The following is a 23234-nucleotide window of genomic DNA, read 5'->3' on the forward strand; positions in this document are numbered from 1 at the left end:
GAAAACTACAGTGAATTATCACTTCACGCTTCTCAGGATGACCACTATAAAAACAAACAAACAAAAAAAACCCCCCACAAACTGCCGGTCATGGTGGCTCACATTTGTAATCTCAGCACTTTGGGAGGCTGAGGCAAGGAGGATTATCTGAGCTCAGGCATTTGATACCAGCCTGGGCAACATGGCGAAATCCCATCTCTACAAAATTTAGCCTGGCATGGTGATTCATACCTGTGATCCTGTCTACTCAGGAGGCTAAGGCAAGAGGATCACCTGAGCCCAGGAGGTGAAGACTGCAGTGAGCAGTGATTACACTGCAGCACTCCAGGCTGGGTGGCAGAGCAAAACCTTGTCTCAGCAAACAAACAACAATAACAACAACAGAAAATAAGAAGTGTTCACAAACATGTGGAGAAATTGTAAGACTTGTGCACTGTTTGTGGGAATACAATGCAGATGTGTTCAGCCACTATGGAAAAGAGTATGGAGACTGCTGAGAAAAGTAAAAATAGAATTACCATATGATCTAGTAATGATCTGTTGCACAATGACGTGCATTTGGTTAATGCTACAGTACTGTATACTTAAAAATGGCTAAGATGGTAAATCTTATGTTGTGTACTTCCTACCACAATAAAAAAAATACAGTGGATACATGTAGTAAGGGCATTTGACCTTTTTTTTACAAGGTGGTGCTGAAGGCAAAGAAGGAAGCTCCTGCCCCTCCTAAAGCCAAAGCCAAAGTGAAGGCTTTGAAGGCCAAGAAGGCAGTGCTAAAAGATGTCCACAGCCACAAGAAAAAAAAAGATCTGCAAGTCACCCACCTTCCGGCGGCCCAAGACACTATGACTCCCGAAGCCCCCCAAGTGTCTTCAAAAGACTGCCCCCAGGAAAAACAAGCTTGACCACTGTGCTATCACCAAGTTTCCACTGACCACTAAGTCTACCACGAAGAAGATAGAAGACAACAACACACTTGTGTTCATTGTGGATGTTAAAGCCAACAAGCACCAGTTCAAACAGGCTGTGAAGAAGCTCTATGACACTGATGTGGCCAAGGTCAACACCCTGATTAGGTCTTGTATTAGTCAGGGTTCTCTAGAAGGACAGAACTAATAGGATAGATGTATAAATGGGAGGAACTTTATTAGGGAGTATTGACTCACACGATCACAAGGTGATGGTCCCATAATAGGCCGTCTGCAAGCTGAGGAACAAGGAAGCCAGTCCAAGTCCCAAAACCTCAAAAGTAGGGAAGCCAACAGTGCAGCCTTCAGTAGGTGGCCGAAGGCCCAAGAGCCCCTGGCAAATCACTGGTGTAAGTCCAAGAGTCCAAAAGCTGAAGAACTTGGAGTCTAATGTTCAGTGGCAGAAAGTATCCCGCAAAGGAGAAAGATGAAGCCTGGAAGACTCAGCAAGTCAAGTCCTTCCACGTTTGTCTGCCTGCTTTATTCTAGCCATGCTGGCAGCTGATTAGATGGTGCCCACCTAGGTTGAGGGTGGGTCTGCCTCCCTCAGTCCACTGATTCAAATGTTAGTCTCCTTTGGCAACACTCTCCCAGACACACCCAGGAACAATAGTTTGCATCCTTCAATCCAGTCAAATTGAAACTCAATATTAACCATCACAGTCCTGATGAAGAGAAGGCATATATGTTCAACTGGCTCCTGATTACAATGCTTTGGATGTTGTCACCAAATTGGAGTCATCTAAATTGAGTGTGGATGGCTAATTCTAAATATATATAGCTTTTCACAAGAAAAGAAAACAAAAGAAAAGAAAAGAAAAGAGAGAGAGAGGAAGGAAGGAAGGAAGGAAGGAAGGAAGGAAGGAAGGCAGGCAGGCAGGCAGGCAGGCAGTTGAAACAGTAAGCAAAATTGACGGTCTTTCCTAGAGCTCATGTGGATGTTTTAATTCTATTGATGCCAGTGCTAGATTTTCCCATCAATGAATATGTCTTAAATAAAATCTTTTTTTCAGAGTGGGAGGCAGAGGGAATAAAAAGAGGGGGTTATAGTAACCATGATAGGGGCTCTAGAAATGAGGCTACAATTTAGCCATCAAACTAAGGCAGCTAGGTTTGCAGAACCAAAAATGCAAGTTGTACTATTGCAACTACAGTAGCCAGTGCTTTAGAAGTTTGAACATTAGATTAAAATCAACACCTTGACTTGAACTTGGAAGCTGACCAAGAGCCAGTGTAAATTAAAAAGCTAATGTCCTGAGCCGGAAGTCACCCAGCTGGCTTCAGAAGAAGCTGCACATTAAATTCAGGCAAAGGAATGCTTCCGTGTTATCCACAAAGTGAGCTGTACCTTATGAGGTTAATATTGCTGTGACAAGTCTAAAAGTCACTAAGTGTGGCCACAGACACACACACACACACACACACACATACACACATACATACATGGTTCTATAGTCACATGAGAGGATTCTGCGGTTTCTGCCCATATGGCATACATTTCTCCCTCATCTCGTAAGAGCATCTGATTTTTATGTGGGGGAATCACAAGTCCTAGTCAAAGTGGTTGGGATGGTGCTGACCCACCCTAAGACTGAGCTAGACAGACAACCTAGGTCTTGTCAGATAATTTCTTCCTGCTGGTCACAGAGATGGGTTAGCAACTGCACATAATCCAAGCCAGGCTTACTAGTGTTATTTATCACTAGGGTTTAGAGAAAGTCCTTTCTATTTTAGCACAAGTGACTAGCAGGACAGGTAGGAAAATGGACAGCCCATTTAGGAAGGGAATTACTGAGAAAGATACCCTTCTTCTGCTGCAGTTACTAAGCTGAAAGAACTAAGTTTCTAGAAGCCATTCTAGAGACAAAGAGTGAAACAGAACCGAGGGGTGGAGTTACTTTCCAGACGATACTTTGCAAAATCCTGGATGCAGGTGTGCTCATAAAAACCCTTTAGGCCTAAGTCAGTTTGCATTGGTAGTCTATTATTTACAGCAGGAAGAGGCCTGAAAATAACACTGTACCCAGTTAAATGATTCTATAGACATTTTCTCTTCTTACTATGTCTATATCTAATATTCTCACCTGATCTGTAAGTTCCCTGAGGCCCCTTCGAAGGACTCAATCTCCTTTGTTACTTATCATAACACATAGTACTATCCCTGGGACATAATAGATGCTCAATAAATAATTGGTGATTAAGTCCTCTCTTCCTCAACCATCCTCTACTATTTCTGCATTTGGGACTCCAAGGTTCTAAGTGGAGTATATACTAGTGAGTGTATCCAGTAGTTTATTTGTTTGTTTGTTTCCTTTTTCATGAAACTCAGTGTGTGTTTTTAGAAAATGCATGAAGTTTTTGTTTTGTATTAAAACCAACCCTCCACTCTCAAACACACACATACACAAGAACAAAAGCAGCCTCTTCAGACATCTCTATATCTCAGTACGCTCATTAGGAGTGTTTAATTATAAGCTGCTGGAGTTTGAATTACCACTCATTAGCTATGTGACTTGAGTAAAGCATGTCACCTCCCTGTGACTTAGTTTTCTTATATGTAAAGTTGATTCGTAACAGACTTCACTTCATCACATTATTGTGATGAAATAATACTTCACATTATTGTGAGTGAAGTCATTAAATACATATGAAATATTTAAAACAGTGCACAGAGTAGGTTCTCAACAAACGCCAGATTTATATTGTGGATAAATGTAAGGATGAGTAAAGACTTTTCTTCATAGGGAAAGAAAATCCCTCCAAATGATAGATGAATAGAACAAACAAGCAAAACAAAACAACAAATGAAAACATTTCATTTTTTTCTCACAGGTGCCATGTTTATTTTTCTCTGATGATTACTTAAAGGAATTGTAGAAACCATTATTGGTGGAAACTGAATACATTTTTCTCATTGATCAGGTAGCAAAATGGTACTCACTAGGGTTTAGAGAATGTCCTTTTCATTTTAACACGAGTGACTATCAGGACTGGTAAGAAAATGGACAGCCCATTTAGTCCAGATAGTTACTCCATAAGCGCCAGCTCCATGGCTGCCGACAGACTAGGAAAGAGCCTGTGCCACTCTGAACCTTACTTGGCTCAGTCTTGGGCATTGATCATATATTGCAGTGGAGCTTTGCTGCTGGAACTCATTAAGAAGGAACCACTAAGAAGGAGCTAATCTGCCTTTTCCTGAACTGATCCCATCACCATCACTGCCTCTTTCCATTTGCCCCCAAACTTGTACTTTCGTTTTTGCTGTCTCCCTACTTGTTTTCAAAGCCAGTGCCTAAATTTCCATTTCTCTACTTCTCCCCCATTTGTTTTAACAGGAAGAAACCATTTAAAAATTGGAGAAAGGATGTAAGATTTTTCCAGGAGAGACCATAGAATAGGCAGTAGTGTTCAAACTTAAAAGTGGACCACTTTTTTTTTTTAAAGGGGAGAAAAAGCTTTCCAAATCTCGGAGAAAATATTTTATATCCTAAAATAAGAATCATTGATTGGTAGGGAAAATTTAGGGACATAAGATTCTTCTAGTTAAAATTATGGCTTTGCTCATTATTGAGGTACAGCTTTGGGAGGGTGACGTAGCTTCCTTGAGCCTCAAACTCCTGGTTTGTAAAATGAGGATATAGTAAGGACTGTCTGAGAGGATGGTTGTGGTGACCAAATGTGTTAGCATGTGAAGAGGGTATGAGTTGCTAGACAAGCAGCAATTTTCTTTTCCCCTCTTTCCTTACATGCTTTCTCCTTAGTGAAAGACAGTAATTTACCTAAGAATAAATTTGATTAACTTCAAACTCTGCATTCCATCCTAGAATTCTCCAGAACTTCTAAATGATTTTTTTTAATTTGCACATATTAAGGTTCATTTTTTGTGTAGTAAAGTTCTGTGGGTTTTGAAAATTGCATAATGTTATTTATTCACAGTTATAGTGTCACAGAATAGTTCCACTGTTCTATTCAGCTCTTCCTCTGTTTCTTCAGAACCCCTTGCAATCAGTTTTTGATGACAGTGAAATAAGCTACTATAAACATTTGTGTGCAGGTTTTTGTGAGGACATCAGCTTTCAACTCACGATTGAAATACCTAACAGTATGATTTTTCAAACACATCGCAAGACTGTGTAGAGCTTTTTAAGAAACTGGCATTCTTCCAAATGGCTGTCTTATCTAGTGGACCCCCCAAGGAGTATATGATTCCATAGGAGTGTGAGTCTTTGAATGACTTTGGCTGTGTGGCAGACAGACTCTAAGGTATATCACAATAGTACACAACTCTGGTATTTGTGTCCTCGTGTAATTTCTTCCCCTTGAGTAATCATGGATCTGTGACTTGCTTCTACTCTCACCAACAGAATATAACAAAGCGATGGGATGTCACTTCCATAATTACTTCATGTTATATACATCTGCGTCTTGCTAGCAGACTTGCTCTGGAGGATCTCCTTGCAGGATTAATGAAGTAAGTGACCATATAATTAAAACTCACATGGGAAGGAATGGGGATCGGTCTACAAGAATTTCAGGTGGCCTTTTGGAGCTAAGGACAGCCTCTAGCTGACAGCCAACAAGAAGCAAGGTCCTCAGTTCTACAACTGTGGGAAGATAATTCTGCTGACAATCTGAGCTTGGAAGTAGATGCCTCTCTGGTTGATCCTCTGTGTGATAACCTAGCCCTGGTCAACACTTTGATTGCAGCCTGTTAAGACAACTACACAGAGGAAATAATTATGCCCATATGCCTGGCCCAAGGAAACTGAAGTTCAATTTTCATTGTCATCTGTCTTAACATCTTAGTGGTTTACTCATTAATTAGTGAGTTAAGTAAAATATTTGACACTTGTTAATTTGATGTTGTATTAGTTAGAATTCTCCAAAGGAACAGAACTGATAAGATGTGTATAAATATGGAGGGAGGTTTATTATAAGGGATTGGCTCCTACAACTATCAAGCCTGGAGAGTTGAAAATCTGCAGTGTGGGCCAGCAGCCAGAGACCCAGGAGAGCCAAAGGTGCAGTTCCTATCTGAAGGTAGTTTGCTGGATAATTCCCTCTTGCTCAGAGAGGCCAGTCTTTTTATTCTACTTAGGCCTCCAACAGATTGAATGAGGGCTGCCCACATTTTGGAAGAGAACCTACTTACTGAAATTCACGAATTTAAGTGTTAATCTCATTCCAAAACACTCTCCAAGTTGACACATAAAATTAACCGTGACAGATATTTATATGAGACTGAAGATTTTTTTAATAAATTATCTTTTAACAGAAGGGTAAGAAGTGTTAGCAGCCGTGTTGAAGTGTTGCCATTTCAGAAAACTTCACTGAGATATAAGTGAGAGGACAAGCCCTGTGGGAAATCAGAACATTCCAGGAAGAAGTGCAGGGGCCTGGTGTAAGAGTGCACTTCTCTAAAAGACAGGCAGGAGGCTAGTGTGGCTGGCACAGTGAGAGCACAGGACAGAGGAACAGGGATGGAGGTTGGAGCTGTAACAGAGCGACAGATCATAGGCCACTGAAAAGATGAAGGATGTAGGGTTGTAATAGAGTGAAATGGTGAGCCATTTCATGGTATGAACAGAGAAATAATGAGTTAATTTTGCAATATGTTTTTTTGATATAATTTCAATTAAAATAGGCCTTAATGGCAAAAAGTCAGGTACTATTTCAGGAATGTCTAAGATGCCATTTGAACTGCAGTTCAAAGTATTTAAGTAAATTATCGAAGATCACAAAGGTAGTAAGTGAAGGAGACAGGTCTGTTTCTCTTTTCCCTATGATATGCTGTCATCCCAGTCACTCTCAGCAGGAATCATCAAATTAGTCTAGGTAGCAAAAGACCAAACTTCTCTTTTCTTTTCGGTGAGCTCAGGACTAGGATTTGTATGCAGTGATGAAAGCCACTTCTGCCTCCTACTAATGGTCTTTGGCTTAAAAATGTCAGCTTGTTCATTTTCCCAGATTTCAATCTACTCAGTGATATAACGAAACAGGTTTTTTCCCCCTTTCCTTCAGTCAAGAGGATAAGAAATATTTCTCTGGATAATGCTATTACAATATTCAACAGCAGCTCTCTGGAGAGAAAGGATAATTCAAAATCTTAAATAAGATATTCAATTTGAGATTAGTTAAGTGGTTATTTGGCTGAAAGGGATTTGACAAACAAGAAGCACTTCTCTATCTTCAGGTAAAGGAAATATTCAGTTGGATTTAATTAGCAGTGGGATTTTTAAAAATGAGGATTCTAAGACCAAGTGCAAAATACGGCTCTGTGATTCCCAAGTATATTTTCTCAGAGATCGTAGTTAATATACAGACTGTAGTCATGCATTTTATTAACAGTTATGGTCTTGATCAATTCATTTTAAAATCACACAGCTTTCAAGTCTGGTAATTTTAGGCTTGGAAGAACATACATCATGAATAAATGTTGGCACTGAGTTTCTTTAGAACTCCCCGGTAAGCATATTCAGCCCTGGCATGGCAGAAATACTTGCAGGTTAAAGTGAGCCCTTGTCTTTGGATTGTCTTTGTGAGGATTTCTTCATGGGGTCTGATGGCTCAAAAACAAGGATACCATTGATCAAAATCTAAATGATGATGAAAATTACACAAGTTCTAACAGTGGGAGATAGTGAGTAGCTAGTTTTGCACTGTGAATATTTTACATGTTCTAAGTGTGGGAAGACCTAGGCCACTTCCTCATTTGTCCTTTTGTCCCCCACTATTCTTATCCCTGGTGTGGAAGAAGGCTTTAAGTATGACATATCAAAATTCTACTCTGAGAGACAGTGGGTATTAGAAAGTAAGAGGCTTGCTTGTTTTTGCAATACTTCATCCATGAAGAATGTGAGCATTTAATGCAAAAGATTCATAATGGAAAAATGTAGCTGCTGTGAGGTAAAGTCATCCCCAAGGAAAAAGTGACAGAAAGGAAGGGAGAGACAAAAGAAGGGAAATGTGAACTCTGGATGGCTATGTGAACCCCAGGTGTCCCTGTAACATTGATGGGGGAGGCAAGAGGGTAAGACAAAAAAAGATTTTCTCTGGCTTCTGAAAATTATGGGGCTTATGGAAAGCTTTCTGAGACACTATCATGCTTTTCCACATTTATAGGGCATAAGTGTATGTTAACGTTTATTTTTTGTTGTTGTTGTTTTGAGATGGAGTCTCACTCTGTTGCTCAGGCTGGAGTGCAGTGGCACGATCTCAGCTCACTGCAACCTCTGCCTCCTGGGTTCAAGCAATTTTCCTGCCTCAGCCTCTCAAGTAGCTGGGATTACAGTTTCCCACCACCACGCCCGGCTAATTTTTGTATCTTTAGTAGAGATGAGGTTTCACCATGTTGGCCAGGCTGGTCTCAAACTCCTGACCTCAGGTGATCTGCCTGCCTCGGCCTCCCAAAGTGCTGGGATTGCTGGCGTGAGCCACTATACCAGGCCCATATTTGTTTTAAGTTCAAAAGAATGCCTTACATATAATATAAGGCTTAGAAGATGAACATATGCATTTATCTTTCAATTCTTCCAGTGATGTACTGTAGCCAGCTCATAACGGCTTGTGAGAACTGATGGCTAAGTTTTTCTGGAACTTGTGAGGCAGTTATTAACCATGGGTAGCTTGAAATTGGCCATGGTAGAAATATTTACACACTGGAATCCAGCAAATGGTACACATCAGGGTTTCCACCCACTCACCCACATGGAGAGCCAGCTGTTAAACCTTTCTCAGCACACTACTGAGGTTTTCCTCTCACTGCTCAACTCCATGCCATGTGTTTTTCTTCACTTCCCATCCTGCTTATAACCTTCTCCTAGATACCACAGACAGCACAATCTCTGAACACACTTGTCCCCACACAGTCCAGCTCCTTCCTGACCTCTCACAACATTCGGCACTGCAAACTGACCTCATCTTCCCTTTCCTCCTGCTATCATGTCCCGTGCAATTCTGAACTCTTTTCTTGATTCCTTTCAAAAATTCTGGTTTTTTCCTCCTTCTTGCAAATGTATCCATTTTTCAAGAGGCTAAACTGAACCGTCTTCCTTCCTTCCCCTTTGGCCAAGCCATTCCTTGCCGAGTTTATATTATTGCTTATTTATATTATTGCTCATCCCCTATTTTTCATGGTTCAGTTCCAGGTTAGTATTTCAACAGCCTGCTAGATGTTTGCACATGGGAGGGCCACTGATATTACAAAGTCAATCTTTGCAGAAGCAAACACATTATCTCTCTGTGTCTCCTCAACATGTCCTCTAACTTCTTTATTCTTGCCAACGACGCCATCATCTGACCAGTCCCATATACCCTATCTGATGACGACAGATAGTTTAAAAATAAGAAAATTTTGAATAGTTCTTAACATCTAATTTACTGAAAGTCTTGCTAAAAATAACCCTCATAATTTATCCTCATAAATGTTTCTCCTGACGTTCCTCTTCTTCAACACACTGCCTTAGCTGAGGTCTCCTTGTTTGGCCTCTTTACCATTGCACCAGACTTCTGATTTGTTTTCCTGCCCCAAATATCCTCTGGAATGGGAGGCACCAGATGTAAGGTAAAAATCCCTAAGACATTCCAATGATAAACCATCTATATTGGTCTTATTAATAATTCATGTCCCTAAATTCTTTGTTATCTCCCCCTTCAAGAGTTGGAGCCCAGTTCCTTCCTCTGACTCCTGCCCCTGCCCATGTTTGAGAGTAGGCGGGACTTAGTGACCCACTTCTTTTTTTTTTTTTTCCCTTGAGACGGAGTCGGGGTCTCACTCACTGGGCTCACTGCAACCTCCGCCTCCCGGGTTCAAGCGATTCTTCTGCCTCAGCCTCCCGAGTAGCTGGGACTACAAGCACATTCCACCATGCCTGGCTAATTTTCTGTATTTTTAGTAGAGACGGGGTTTCACTGTGTTAGCCAAGATGGTCTTAATCTCCTGACCTTATGATCTGCCCACCTTGGCCTCCCAAAGTGCTGGGATTATAGGCGTGAGCCACCACGCCTGGCCAGTGACCTATTTCTAATAATAGAATAGAGCAGAAGTGACAGGGTGCAACTTCAGGGACTAGGTCATTAAAAGCATGAGGCTTCCTCCTCATTCACTTTCTCTTGGAACGCTCTAGGGGAAGCTATGTCATGAAATGGCATGAAGACATTTAGGCAGCCTGTAGAAAAGCCCATGTGGTGAGGAACTAAATGTTCCAGTGAAAGCCATGAGATTGAGCTATCTTGGGGGATCCTCCGGCCCACTCAAGTCCTCCTACGATTGTAGTACTGGCCAACAGTTTGACCACAGCCTCATAAACCCTTGAGTCAGAATCACCTAGCTTACTCACTTCTGGATTTCTACCTCTTTGAAACTGCAGAAGTAACAATGTTTGTTTTTTTAAGCTGCAACATTCTGGGGCAATATCTTATGCAGTGATAGATAACTAATACACCATCCATCTTACACTCTGCTCCAAAGTAAACTTTAAAAGCAGAGTTCTGAGCATACCATTTCACTGCTAAAAACTTCTAAAGGCTTTGGAATTGAATTTTCGTCTCTTGATAAAGACCTATCTTTTCAGTCTGTTAGTTAAGGCCTTCCATGATCTATCACCAACCCATCTCTTTAGCTTTATATCCCAAAATACTCTCTATTGCCATTGCTGTTTCAGCCAATCTGGAAGATGATCTATTCTCTGTTTAATATGCTCTTTCCTATCTTAATCCTGTTCCCAAAAGAAATGTAGTAAAGTTTTTCATGATGATCAGAGAGGCTTTTAGCTTCATCATTATTTGAAAACTTTTTCCTTAAGGAAATACAGACATGAATGCTTCTCTTAAGTACAGCAGAAGGATAGAGACTTAGAATGAAAGATGAAGAGAAGAATATGTTTTGGGTCAGCTGGGTGCGGTGGCTCACGCCTATAATCCCAGCACTTTGGGGGGCTGAGGCGGGCGGATCACTTGAGGTCAGGAGTTTGGGACCAGGCTGGCCAACATGGCGAAACCCCGTCTTTACTAAAAATACAAAAAATTAGCCGGGCGTGGTGGTGCGTACCTGTAATCCCAGCTACTCAGGAGGCTGAGGCAGGAGAATCGCTTGAACCCAGGAGGCGGATGATGCTGTGAGCCGAGATCGCGTGCCCCTGCTCTCCAGCCTTGGCGGCAGAGTGAGACTCCATCTCAGAAACAAAGAATATGTTTTGCGTCATCTGGTATTTCTGCAGATGAGGACACTGGAACAACTATTTTGGTTGGTCAGGAGCGTGACTCCGTCCTCTTTTCTGCTCCATCTCTCTATTGACTTTGGGCCCACTTCTTCCAGAGCTGCTATTTCTGAACTGTGTCAGGGTGTCCACCACTCTGGCTCTGCTTGACCAGGATGTATATGAAACCTCCCTGATATTAAAAAATTGTGCTCGATTTCATTCGTCACCTGGCTAGAGAAATTTATCTCTAATCCTTTTCTTTCTTTTCTTTTATCCGTTATATGTTTAAGTGCTGTTCTTCATGCTTTTACTTTGAGGAAAGTGTGCTTATGCAAAAACAGTTAACATTTTAAATTTTACTAAAAAAACAAAATTCTATCTCAGTCCTTAGGCACTAGTAGCTGCTTTAGCAAAGGCAGAATTTTGATTTCTCCTGCCTGGTGCTTTTGCGTTTACGATGGGGGCATCTCAAGTCCTGTTACACTCTGTCCATTTAATTTAGTCATGTGAGTAAATTGAGGCCTGTTCTTGCTAGACTCTCCCATGGGAACAGAATAGTTAGGCATGAGTCAGCCATCTGATATGCCTTTAAAGTAGGCAGTGACTTGTAAATGCTTCCATCCTCCTGAGGTGCCAAACCCCATTCAATTTTTTAATCTGGAAGATAAAAAAGTTATATTTTCTTCTTCAAGACTGTCACATAATTGTGTGACATTTCTTAGACAATGACAATCTACCAGCTTTCCTATATGAAAAAAGTGTATAGTCTGGGGTACTGACGACGTGTGCTGGGTAATTTTGTGTGCCAGCTTGGCTGGGCAGTAGTGCCCAGTTGTTTGGTCAAACACAGTCTAGATGTTGCCATGACAGCATTTTTTTTTCTTAGATCTTATTATCATTGAAATCAGTAGACTTTGAGTAAAGCAGATTACCCTCCATATTGTGGGTAAACCTCACCCAGTTAAACACCTTAAGAGAAAAGACTATGCTCCCGGGAGGAGGAATGAATTGTGTCTTAGGAATCAAGACTGCAACATCAACTCTTGTTGGGATTTGTAGCCTGCCAGCCTGTCCTGTGGATTTCAGTCTAAGGCCCCATTATCATGTGAACCAATTATTTAAAATATATCTCTCTCTATATGTATATATCCTATTGGTCTTGTTTCTCCAAAGAACCCAAACTAATACATGGCAATACTGCATTTATGCCATGTTTATCATCTATTAACTTAACCAACCAGGTATAAACATTTGTACTATTGTACTGCTACTAGCATTGCTTACTACTGCCACGGTTCCTAACCAGCATTTATTGACTGCTTAGTACATACCAGACCCTTCACTAAATATTTTCTGTAGATTATATTTTTAAACCACACGTTAACCATTTGAAGTTGCTGTATATTACATTTTATACAATTGAGTTGAAGGAGAAAAAGAAAAAATTTAAAAAAAGAGAGAAGAGGAAGGGCCAGGAAAGAAAAGAAAGAAAAGAAAACCTTGCTGGCCCACAACAATCCGTAAGAGGAAGATCCAGAACATTAATTCAGATCTAACTCCAAAAGGCATATTGGTAGCAGTACCCTGACCTTTGGTGCAGGACAATCCATTAGTAACTTGCGAATTGAGGCTCTGCCATTAGAGACTCCATGCACATTGATAAAAATCTCCTTTTGTAATTTCATTCACTGGCCCTACTACAGCAATTTCTAAGCAGCTGGCCATGGTGAGAAATGAGTTAATCCTGAGCTGAACAAATAAGAATGACTAGTTATTACCAAAAGGCAGTCTAGGAATCACATCTACAGAATGTCCTGCTTCTTTAGAATAATTGAAATATAGAAGAGTCACAGTCCATTTAGTTTATTTATGTGGCATCATTGGGCCGTCAAGGGTTTTACAAAAATAAGCCCTTTTTTTTCATTTAAAAATAACTGAAGCATTTCACTTTAAATGCCAGAAAGCATTTTAATAATTGTCAGTGGATCTTTAGAAAATATACTATACTCATGACACCTCCCCCACCAGAAAAAAAAAAGACTCAACATAATTCAAATGATCTTTCTGAAGTAGAACCACCATTATGACCATATACCTTTTGTTCATAGAGACACCTTCCAGGACTGCTTACATATTTAAGACTTTTTTATTCCTTCATTAAAGTGCCTTTGATGTCTTGGATTTTATACATTTCTCTGCCTCTTATAACTTTATTTTATTTTATTTTATTTGAGACACAGTTTTACTCTGTCATCCAGGCTGGAGGGCAGTGTCACGATCTCGGCCCACTGCAAGCTCTGCCTTCCAGATTCAAGAGATTCTTGCTTCAAGAATCCTGCCTGAGCCTCCCAAGTACCTGAAACTACATGCACATGCCACCACGCCCGGCTAATTTTTGTATTTTTAGTAGAGACAGGGTTTTGCCATGTTGGCCAGGCTGGTCTCGAACTCCTGACCTCAAGTGATCCACCTGCCTTGACCTCCCAAAGTGCTGGGATTACAGGCATGAGCCACCTTACAGACCTCTTACAACATTTTGATTACCTTATGCTATCTGCTGGTACCTCTCACCAATGTCATCAGCAGTCCTTATTGCTTCTATGCAGTGTATTTAAATCCAAAACCATTATGTTTACCAACACCTTCTTTTCAAAGAGAATTGTTATACTTCCGGCTCCAAATCTCACATTTAACTCCTTTATTTCTGGTTTCTAGTGCTTAACATATTACCAAATTTTCCTGATGCCACTTCCTCTAATTATTCTTTTTTCAAAATTTTATTTTTAGTTGACATGTAATTGTACACAATTTAATTAATTCTTATGTGACATATTCATACATACAATTTTCAGACAAGATTTATTAAAGTGTAAGCATTCTCCTCTCTTCCCTTCATCTAGTTGTTTAAAAGGAACCTTTTGGAATGAAGAATCAGGTGAACGGGTAGAGACTAGACCAGAGAGTAGATTTAAGCAGCAATCTAAACTGATTTACACAATAAAAAACCCAGGAAGGTGAGTGCAGGCCGAAGTGGAAGATAAAGAAAAAGCTGGAGGAGCACAGGTTTGACTGAGACTCCCAAGCAGTTGTGAGGGGAAAACTGGGAGGTGTAGAAAAAGGTGCTTTTGAGAATTGTTGCTGGAGTTATGAATCACGTCCCTAGCAATATTCCTTGAAAGATGCAAGTGAGGGTTAGAGATTTTTTTATTACTAGCTGATGACTAGATGGCTACTTTTAAAGTTATACGCTTCAGAGACTGTCCTGTGATTCAGTATTCAGATTGTGTTTGTTGGATGAGTGAATAGACTCATAAACAAATGCTTTCTTTTTCTCTTCCTTTTCAATTATTTATTTATTTGTTTATTTTTGAGACAGGGTCTCACTTTGTCACCCAGGCTGGAGTGCAGTGGAGCAATCACAGGTCACTACAGCCTCGACCTCCCCTGGCTCAGGTGATCCTCCCACCTCAGCCACCTGAATAGCTCAGACTACAGGTGTGCACCATCACGCCTGTCTAACTTTTTCCCCGAGACAGGGTTTCACCATGTTGCCCAGGCTGGTCTCGAACTCCTGGGCTCAAGCAGTCCGCCTTCCTCAGCCTCCCAAAAGGCTAGGATTACAGGCATGAGCAGCCATGCCTGGCCTCAAATGCTTTATTTTTCATGGGTTGAGAGACATCTCATGGCTTCAAACCATGGATTTTGTGGAAGTTATTTTTCTCACAGTTCTTGAACTTTTTTCTACTCATTCTAAGGATCTTGGCTGTGTTCTGCATAGAAGGGGATAGAGGAAGGTACCATGGAGAAAAGAACCATGACTAGCAATGTGGCTTAGGAAAGAAGATGCAGGAGTCTTTGCTTTGCTGTTAACTTATGTGTTCATGAAGAAATTGTTGAAACTTGATCATATGAGGTGTTGGTCAAGTCGATGGTCTAGCATGATGCATAGCACATAATCAGCACTCAAAAATACTTAGAGAATTACTTCTAATTTCCCTTTGAGCCCTAGAATTCTGTGCATCTATGATTCTAGCGAAGCAGTGCTGACTTGATTCTTAATATGGATATCCTCTGAGCTCTGAAAATTAGAACTCACGCTGAGTTACTTTCTGCCTCTGCTTCCCAGGAGTAGATGGCAGTCCCATTTGTAATGCCTCTGAAATTATGCAGAGTGGGCTGCTGTAATATGCTTAATAAACCATCCTGGCATCGCTTTTGTTTTGTTCCTACCACACATTCTACCAAAAAGAGCACATCTGCATATACACAAAGTACACAATCCTGCTGGGTTCATCAAAAAGTTTCATCTGCATAAGAGTTCAAGGCAAGTTGGTTACATGTTCACTTATTTTATTTGTTGTCCCCTAAAACTATGCAGAACTAGGACCAAGTCAGTGTTGATAACAAAGGAAAAAACGATAATGTGGAAAATGTGGAGGGAAAGAAAGTGCAGATAAAAAATTCATTTGAACCTGATAACAAACGGGTGGTTGCTTTTATGTAGGTGGCCCTTCTTCATGCCAGTTTTGAGGGACTGTCAAAGAAGCTCTGAAATTACTAATCAATCCCCAGAGAATTTGGAGGAACTGGAATCCACTGTGTCCCAGAACCAGTGCCACCAAAGATTAAAGTATGTTACGAGTCACCAGTTCAATCTGGGAGGTTAGGATGCTTTTAGATGTGGGTCTGGTGTGCCTGAGATTAGCTCTGAACGCATATTTTTGGTGAATCTCAGCTATTACTTTGTCTTCACTGCATGGCTTAGATGTGGGGACCTGGCCTTTGCCTCAGTTTTTTGCTGAGACTCCAGATACCTGACAATGGCCCCTTGAACCCAGATGCCCTGATTTGTCTCTGCCACCTTCTGTCCTACAGAGTTAGCCTTTGCCTACCTCCCATCCCAGGTCCCTTATTCATAACAGACTGATATTGATTATTGTGGATACCCAGGGACCACCTGGCTTACAACCACCAGCTAGATTGCTGACATAATCACTGATTGGAATCTTGAGGTAATGTGTTTCGCCTGTGGGCTTGGGCCCAGCACAGTCCATTAAATCAGACGCTACATGAAATTCAACAAGCAGTCTCTCCGATAGGTCAGTCCTTCTGCCCCACCAGTCCTCTCCTGCCTTGCTTTCTTATTCCTTCCCACTTGAGTTTCAAAATGCCTCATGACTCATCAGGACATCCCAAACCAGTTCTTTGCTGTTTGCAATAATACTGTGGGCTCTCATCAGTTAACAAAAACAAACAAACATACATATATATATGAACAAAACCAACCAAACCAAAAAAATGCTTAGTAAAATGTTTTCAGATATAATAGAGCCACAAGGCTTCATTCTGTATTAAAGAAATTTTCCACTCATGGGCCAAAGTGGAGAAGGAAGGTCTTGCCCTGCAATGAGGCCACTGAAGAGAAAATTCATGCATGAGCATGGGAATTCCGTAGGGGATCCCATCTCTAATAGGTTAAGCCATATCTATATATATGGCTTATATGTAGCACTCTGGGTGCTGTATGAGCTGCTGGGTTTCGGATGACTTAGTGTTGGTATTTGGAAAATACTTACTCTATATCCACTTGTTTACTGAAGTGAGTAGCAAATATCAGTTCTTTAGTTCAAGAGAGCTTAGACGGCCCACCTCCCCTGTGTACCATATCAACTAAGGTCGAAAGGAATAAGTCTCTATTTGTGTAATTCAAAGTGGGGCTGAGGCAGAATCTGGTATATGCATTTACAAGAATAGCTCTTTTCCTCGTGTAAACTCTTTCCAACAACCACATTTGGAGCAGAGAACTGCATGAGCATGCAGTTTTGTTGTTTTGAACCATCTCTTATTTGCGGCTTACCTGTAGGAAGACTGGAGGAGTGTATGGGTAGAGTGAAAGAGGATTAGGAATCATGGGTTGAAATTCTGACTTTCCTAGTTTACTGGCCATGTGATCTTAGACAAGTGAATTGAACTTTCCAGACTGATGTTTCCACATTATAAAATAAACATACCTACCTTAAAGTGTTTGCAGGTTTTAAATCATGTATTCCTTTTTCCTTATAACATAGTGAATGTACCACAAATCACCACCTTTAACTCTTCTCCTTTCCTATAGCCCATTGCCCTCTACTTATATCAAACTACTGATTCTTCTGTCTATCTCAACACTGTTTAGACTATATTTGTGTAAATTCAAGAGGCTAAAAAGATATATTTACAGTGCATTTGGAAATAACATCTAGAATGATGCACTAAACAAACAAAATAACTTTCCGATTTGTCTGCCATATTAAAACAAACCAAATCTGCCCTCCTAGATATCCTAGAAGCAATGTCAGTTTGTTTCTATAGAAAAATCCCATCTCAGGTCAATTATTTCCCATGTGCTTGCCAGTGTAGTACTTTAACCAGAGAGAGAGATTTTACCAACTTACATCTACCCTCCCTCTCCAGATGCCCAGATTTGATTCCATAAATCCCTATGGACATCTATTAAATCCCAACCAGGAGAAAAGCTCTGCAGAGCAAGAAGGAAGAACTGAATCTTTTTCTGGGCATTCTTCCAGACAGAAACTTGGCTGCGCATGTCACTAAGGACAACTGTGTCTGCCTTGCTTTTGTGCCATCTGAAATGCAGCACACTGGAGAATTTGGAAAACAGTCTCCGTTGTATTGAGCAGTTTTCTGATTTACTCGAGCACGTAAGTGGGCTTTGATGTGGAACAGATCCAGTGGGGTTTCTAAGTTTCCCAAGCTTCAGGCCCACCTAGTTTTCAAGTCTTCTTGAGCCACTCTTTGAGTTAGCTCAACCCTTCAATTATTATATACCCCAAAGAGGAGATTGACATATTATTCATCTTTTAGGAAAAAATACGGCGCAGAAGAAAAGCGAGCATTTTGGTGTCATACAGACCTCCTACTCCATGATCATGATGAACAAGTGAATCACTTCAGTTCTCCAAGCTCCACTTTCACCAAATGTAAAAGAAGAAAACCATTCCTACTTCGAGAGTTTGTGTGGATTAAATGAGATAATGGGTACACAGATGACACATTATATTCAAAATGGTAGCTGCTTTACTATTTTTTCATCATTCGTATATTTTTCACTCACAACTTCCTCATTCTACACTTTTGCTTCATTCACATCTTTTATTTTTAGGTAACGTTTAACTGTGCGCTTGGGAATTAAAATCTTGGTAGCCTTTGCCCCTTTGCACTTAGTGTTCACATGTGCTCACACCAGTGTTTTTGGCCCTGGACTTTTCACTGAGACTTTGGTTCACTCACAACCTGACTATCAGCATTGCTTCTGTGCCCTAGCCTTGGCCAATGAGAACCTCCTGCCTCCAGTTATTCGGCAGACACTTGGTGAGGCTAGTCTCTGTCATTTGTCAAGTGTGTGTGTATGTATGTATGTATGTGCATGTGAGGTATTATATCTTGGTGCTGTTATTAAGTAAGGTTGGCATTCTTCTTGTGGCTGAAGGGTGTTAAGGAAAGTGAGTGGCTGCTGGTTAGGCAATTAAGAAGGTTGCTACACAAGTTACAGCAAGGGTATCTTCCAGCAGGTTTGCATCTTCTCCCCTAGAAATAACTCTTCTGCCTTCACTTCTCTTGCTTACCCCAGTCATGATTACCGAGGAACAACAAAATCTTCAGACAGTATTGGTTTGCGATACTCAACACACAGTCAAGCAATGGGTCTAGGCCCATTAATAGCACATGTTTCTGTATGTTTATGAACCATAACTAACTACTATTACCATATTGTTGTTTTGTATCTATGCAAGAGTGTTTACTTCTATGTGTAGCTGCACATATCTAAATAATGTATAGGCTGGGCGCGGTGGCTTATGCCTGTAATCCTAGCACTTTGGGAGGCTGAGGCAGGTGGATCACCTGAGGTCGGGAGTTCAAGACCAGCCTGACTAACATAGAGAAACCCCGTCTCTACTAAAAATACAAAATTAGCCAGGCGTGGTGGTGCATGCCTATAATCCCAGCTACTCGGGAAGCTGAGGCAGGAGAATCACTTGAACCCGGGAGGCGGAGGTTGCAGTGAGCCGAGATCGCCCCATTGCACTCCAGCCTGGGCAACAAGAGTGAAACTCCGTCTCAAAAATAAATCAATAAAATAAAATAAAATAATGTATAAATATATATGTACACATATTTACCTTACACTTATACTGTAAAATGTTATTACATGCATGTATATATATCTGTATATATATGTCTGTGTGTACATGTATATTACATATATACACATGGATCACAAAGTTAAACTGTTTAAAAATTGTAAACATTTGAAATTTCATGAGTTAAACTGCAGGTGCCATAATTGCAAAATAATATTTGTATCTCAATATGAATTTAAATTGATACACATAAGGTAAAAAATTGTCTTATCTAGAGAAGTTGTTTTTAACTTATTAAAGGAATTTAAGTATATGCTGTCAACAATTATGAATTTTCCTATAACTTTTATATATTATTTACAATAATTACATAACTAACTTAATTAGCAAATATTAGAATATCTTAGAAGATATATAAACAAAGATCAAGGGAATTAAAACACCCATAGTTTTACAAGTTAGAAATAACCTGTGTTAGTATTTTTCATCTCGTTCTGTCCTTATTTTCTGTACAAATTATACTATGAAAGTCTTAAATTCTGCTTTCTCTTAACATCATGTGAAACATTTCTCATGTCCTTCTTTAGAAAAGAGTTTTAACGAAATTATATTTTATTATATGCATATATATTGATTGTTTGTTAACTAGTTTATACATAGTGCTTACTGAATCCTTTTTCTGCATCTACAAGCTGTTATTAATATTCACATAAAGAGAAAGATGTTATGAAAATAGAAATGCATATATTGAAATATTTTACTTAGTATTGTTTATAAAGTGTTTTATGATTATCTAGCGGCCTTGAATTTATTTTTAAACATTTCAAATCTTCAGCTGTTTTACTTTCCTTCAAATACTTCATAAATGTCTTTTTCACACCATGTTTTTTTGTTGGTTTGTTTTTGGAGACAGTCTTGCTCTGTTGCCCAGGCTGGAGGGCAGTGGTGCAATCTTGGGTCACTGCAACCTCCACCCGCCAGGCTCAAACGATTCTCATGCCTCAGCCTCCTGAATAGCTGGGATTACAGGTGTGCATCACCACACCCAGCTAATTTTTGTATTTTTATTAGAGAAGGGGTTTCCCCATGTTGCCCAGGCTGGTCTCAAACTCCTCGACCTCCCAAAGTTCTAGGATTACAGGTGTCATTCACTGTGCCCGGCCAGCCATGTTTTTCTTTAACAAGGGGTTCTAACCACAACTTAACATTGTTTGGGTCAAAGCCTGTTTCTAAATATTTGTTGCTGGGGTAGGTGGAAATTGGATGATGTTCTAAGGTCTGTGTAAGTGAATAGGGCTGCTGGTCCCTACACTGAAAGGTCTCAGGCTGAGGTGACAATTTTAATGAGGATTAGCACTATTTCCTTATCTTTTTCCTCTGCTGTCAAGTAGGGTTTCTTCCCTCTACCAGTACTTTTAAACTGCCACCTAAATTATAGTCAGTTCTGCTATCAAGCAGTTTTGAAAACATAAATTTGTTCTAATGTAATTGATATATTAAGGAAGAATTTGAGGATAATTCAAATGCTGTATTTGCTTATGCATGATTTTGTCAATGAGAAAAACTAGATGAATGCAGAAAACTGCATCCAGCTGAAATCAGCTGTGTAAAAGTACACAGAACACACACACACACCCCTCAAACATCTGCCGGCTGCGTCCACTTGCCTTGTGTGTTACAGCCACATTATCTGTATTTGGTATTGCAAATTTCTGTCTGATTTCAGGTAACTTCCCTTCTACCACTTCACAATAACTCACATGCTGTAGGCATTCCAACGCCCACTCTCATAAGCAAACTTCAAGTCTTTTTCAAGGTAAGTGTTTTGTGTATTTAACTATTCAGTGTGTGTAAAACTATGCTACCATTTTTATTCGGTTTGTACCTTTTTAAAAATGTGCCCGGAGACACATTACACTGAGATATGACAAAGTTTTTGTGTGTTGTGCCCCAGCCCCATCTTTTTTCCTAAGCTTTATGGGCTTTATTATACCATTTGGCATAGAGGGATGATTTTGGAAACACATGTTACATAATAGTGCAACTGAGTGTACAGATGATCTCTGGGAAAGACCCTGCTTATGTGCAATGGAAGAGCTATTTTCCCTTAAACTCAGAAACATTTCTAACTGTTGTTTAGGTTCAAAATTGTTTGTTTTCTGGGCACAGTTGTTCTAAGGTGGCTTTTGAACATACTGGGACCATGCAGGTGTCTAAATGGCTGTCTCCTTTTTAGCCTTCAGATCCTGAAGAGGTTTTTGTTCAGCATCTAGACATTTTTGTTTCCGAGGACCAACTCTCCCCATCTCCCGCCCCCACCCCTAGTCACTCTGGCCGCCCCGTCACCTATCATGTTATTTTTACATTTTGATATATTGAAATTATCTTATATGTTTGATGGCATTGCATATGTTACATTAAATTATATTATTTGTTCATTGTTCCTACTCAGGTATTACTTCATAAAGCCAGACATGTTTTCTGCCTTGTTCACAGAAGATTCTCACTGCCTAAAACAGTGTCCACCACACACTGATCAATAAATATCTCTATGCTGTAAAACACGGGTCTCTTTCCATGTGTTTAGCACAAAAACTTTATAACAGCCATTTCCTTGTATTTGTCCATCTGGAATTATTTTGGACTTCCCTACTATACAAGCCTCTGACTAACATGCATTTTCACAGTATTGTTAACTCCTTGGGGAATAGGAAAACACATTTTAATAGTAATCCAGAAATCAAACTTAGACCTTTGTTTTTTATGCTAGTTTCTAGCCATTTTTTTTTCTTCTTCTTAAACTGCAATTATTTCACTTAATGTCTAAGAATAGCTCTGGGAATACAGCAGCTTGAGTGGTAACAGAGATGGGCAGGGATATGTTGATTCTTGACAAACACCAACTGAACATGTAATTAGAGGTGCTAGCTGGGGTAGAGGAATCGGACTGTGAAGCCACCTCAGAGATCATCACTGAATAAAATGGACTTGCTCACAACACTAAGCTGAAAATCAAGGGCTGAGTTCCAGCAAACATTTATCTAGTGCCCCCTAATGGCAATGCCCAGTCCTAAATGCTGAAATAATAAAATGAATAAAATAAAGATCCTTCTGTAAACGAGTGTAGAATTTGGTGAGCAAGGCGTAAGTGCCACAAATAAACATACAGCCAAGTTCTAAATATGTGATGTTTAAAGAAAAATACGTGAACATAGTCACAGAGAAAGGAGCACCTACTACGTATTATTTATTGTTTTGAGACAGTCTCACTCTGTCGCCCAGGCTGGCGTGCAGTGGCGCAATCCCAGCTCACTGCAACCTCTGCCTCTCGGGTTCAAGTGATTCTTGTGCCTCAGCTTCCAGAGTAGCTGGGATTACAGGCATGCACCACCACACCCAGCTAATTTTTGTATTTTTAGTAGAGACAGGGTTTCACCATGTTGGCCAGTCTGGTCTCAAACTCCTAGCCTCATGTGATCTACCTGCCTCAGCCTCCCAAAGTGCTGGGATTACATATTATTATTTTTTAGACACAAGGTCCTGCTCTGCTGTCCAGGCTGGAGTGCAGTGGCATGATCATCGCTCACTGCAGGCTGGAACTCCTGGGCTCAAGCAATCTCCCCCAACCAACCCCTCACCTTGGCCTCCCGTAGCTCTGGGATTACAGGTGTGAGCTACAGTACCTGGTGCATTTGGGTTGGGGGAGATATATTGGTTATGATATGGGCTGGCCATGAAAGGGGTGCTGTGCCAGTCACCTGCCTGTGTTCTCTCAAATCCATTTCCCACTCCCTCGCGGTTCACTTTGTATTCCAGAAAACAACATTTCCCAGGCTCCACGGCCCACTGGCTTGTGGCTGGGTTTGTGCAGTTAAAAGGATCGGCAACAGCAGAGAAGACCAGAGCAAGGGAAAAAGCGAGCTACT

General features: G+C 40.4%; 1 long non-coding RNA gene and 1 pseudogene across 1 annotated transcript; both read left to right on the forward strand.

Moving 5' to 3' along the window:
* On the forward strand, positions 680-1080 carry RPL23AP59 (ribosomal protein L23a pseudogene 59; annotated as a pseudogene).
* LOC105378472 (uncharacterized) lies at positions 18428-21825 on the forward strand. Its single transcript, XR_946298.3, has 3 exons — positions 18428-18538; positions 21035-21124; positions 21761-21825. It is a non-coding gene; the product is annotated as an uncharacterized LOC105378472 (long non-coding RNA).

This window comes from Homo sapiens, chromosome 10, assembly GCF_000001405.40.
Source record: "Homo sapiens chromosome 10, GRCh38.p14 Primary Assembly".
Lineage (NCBI taxonomy): Eukaryota > Metazoa > Chordata > Mammalia > Primates > Hominidae > Homo > Homo sapiens.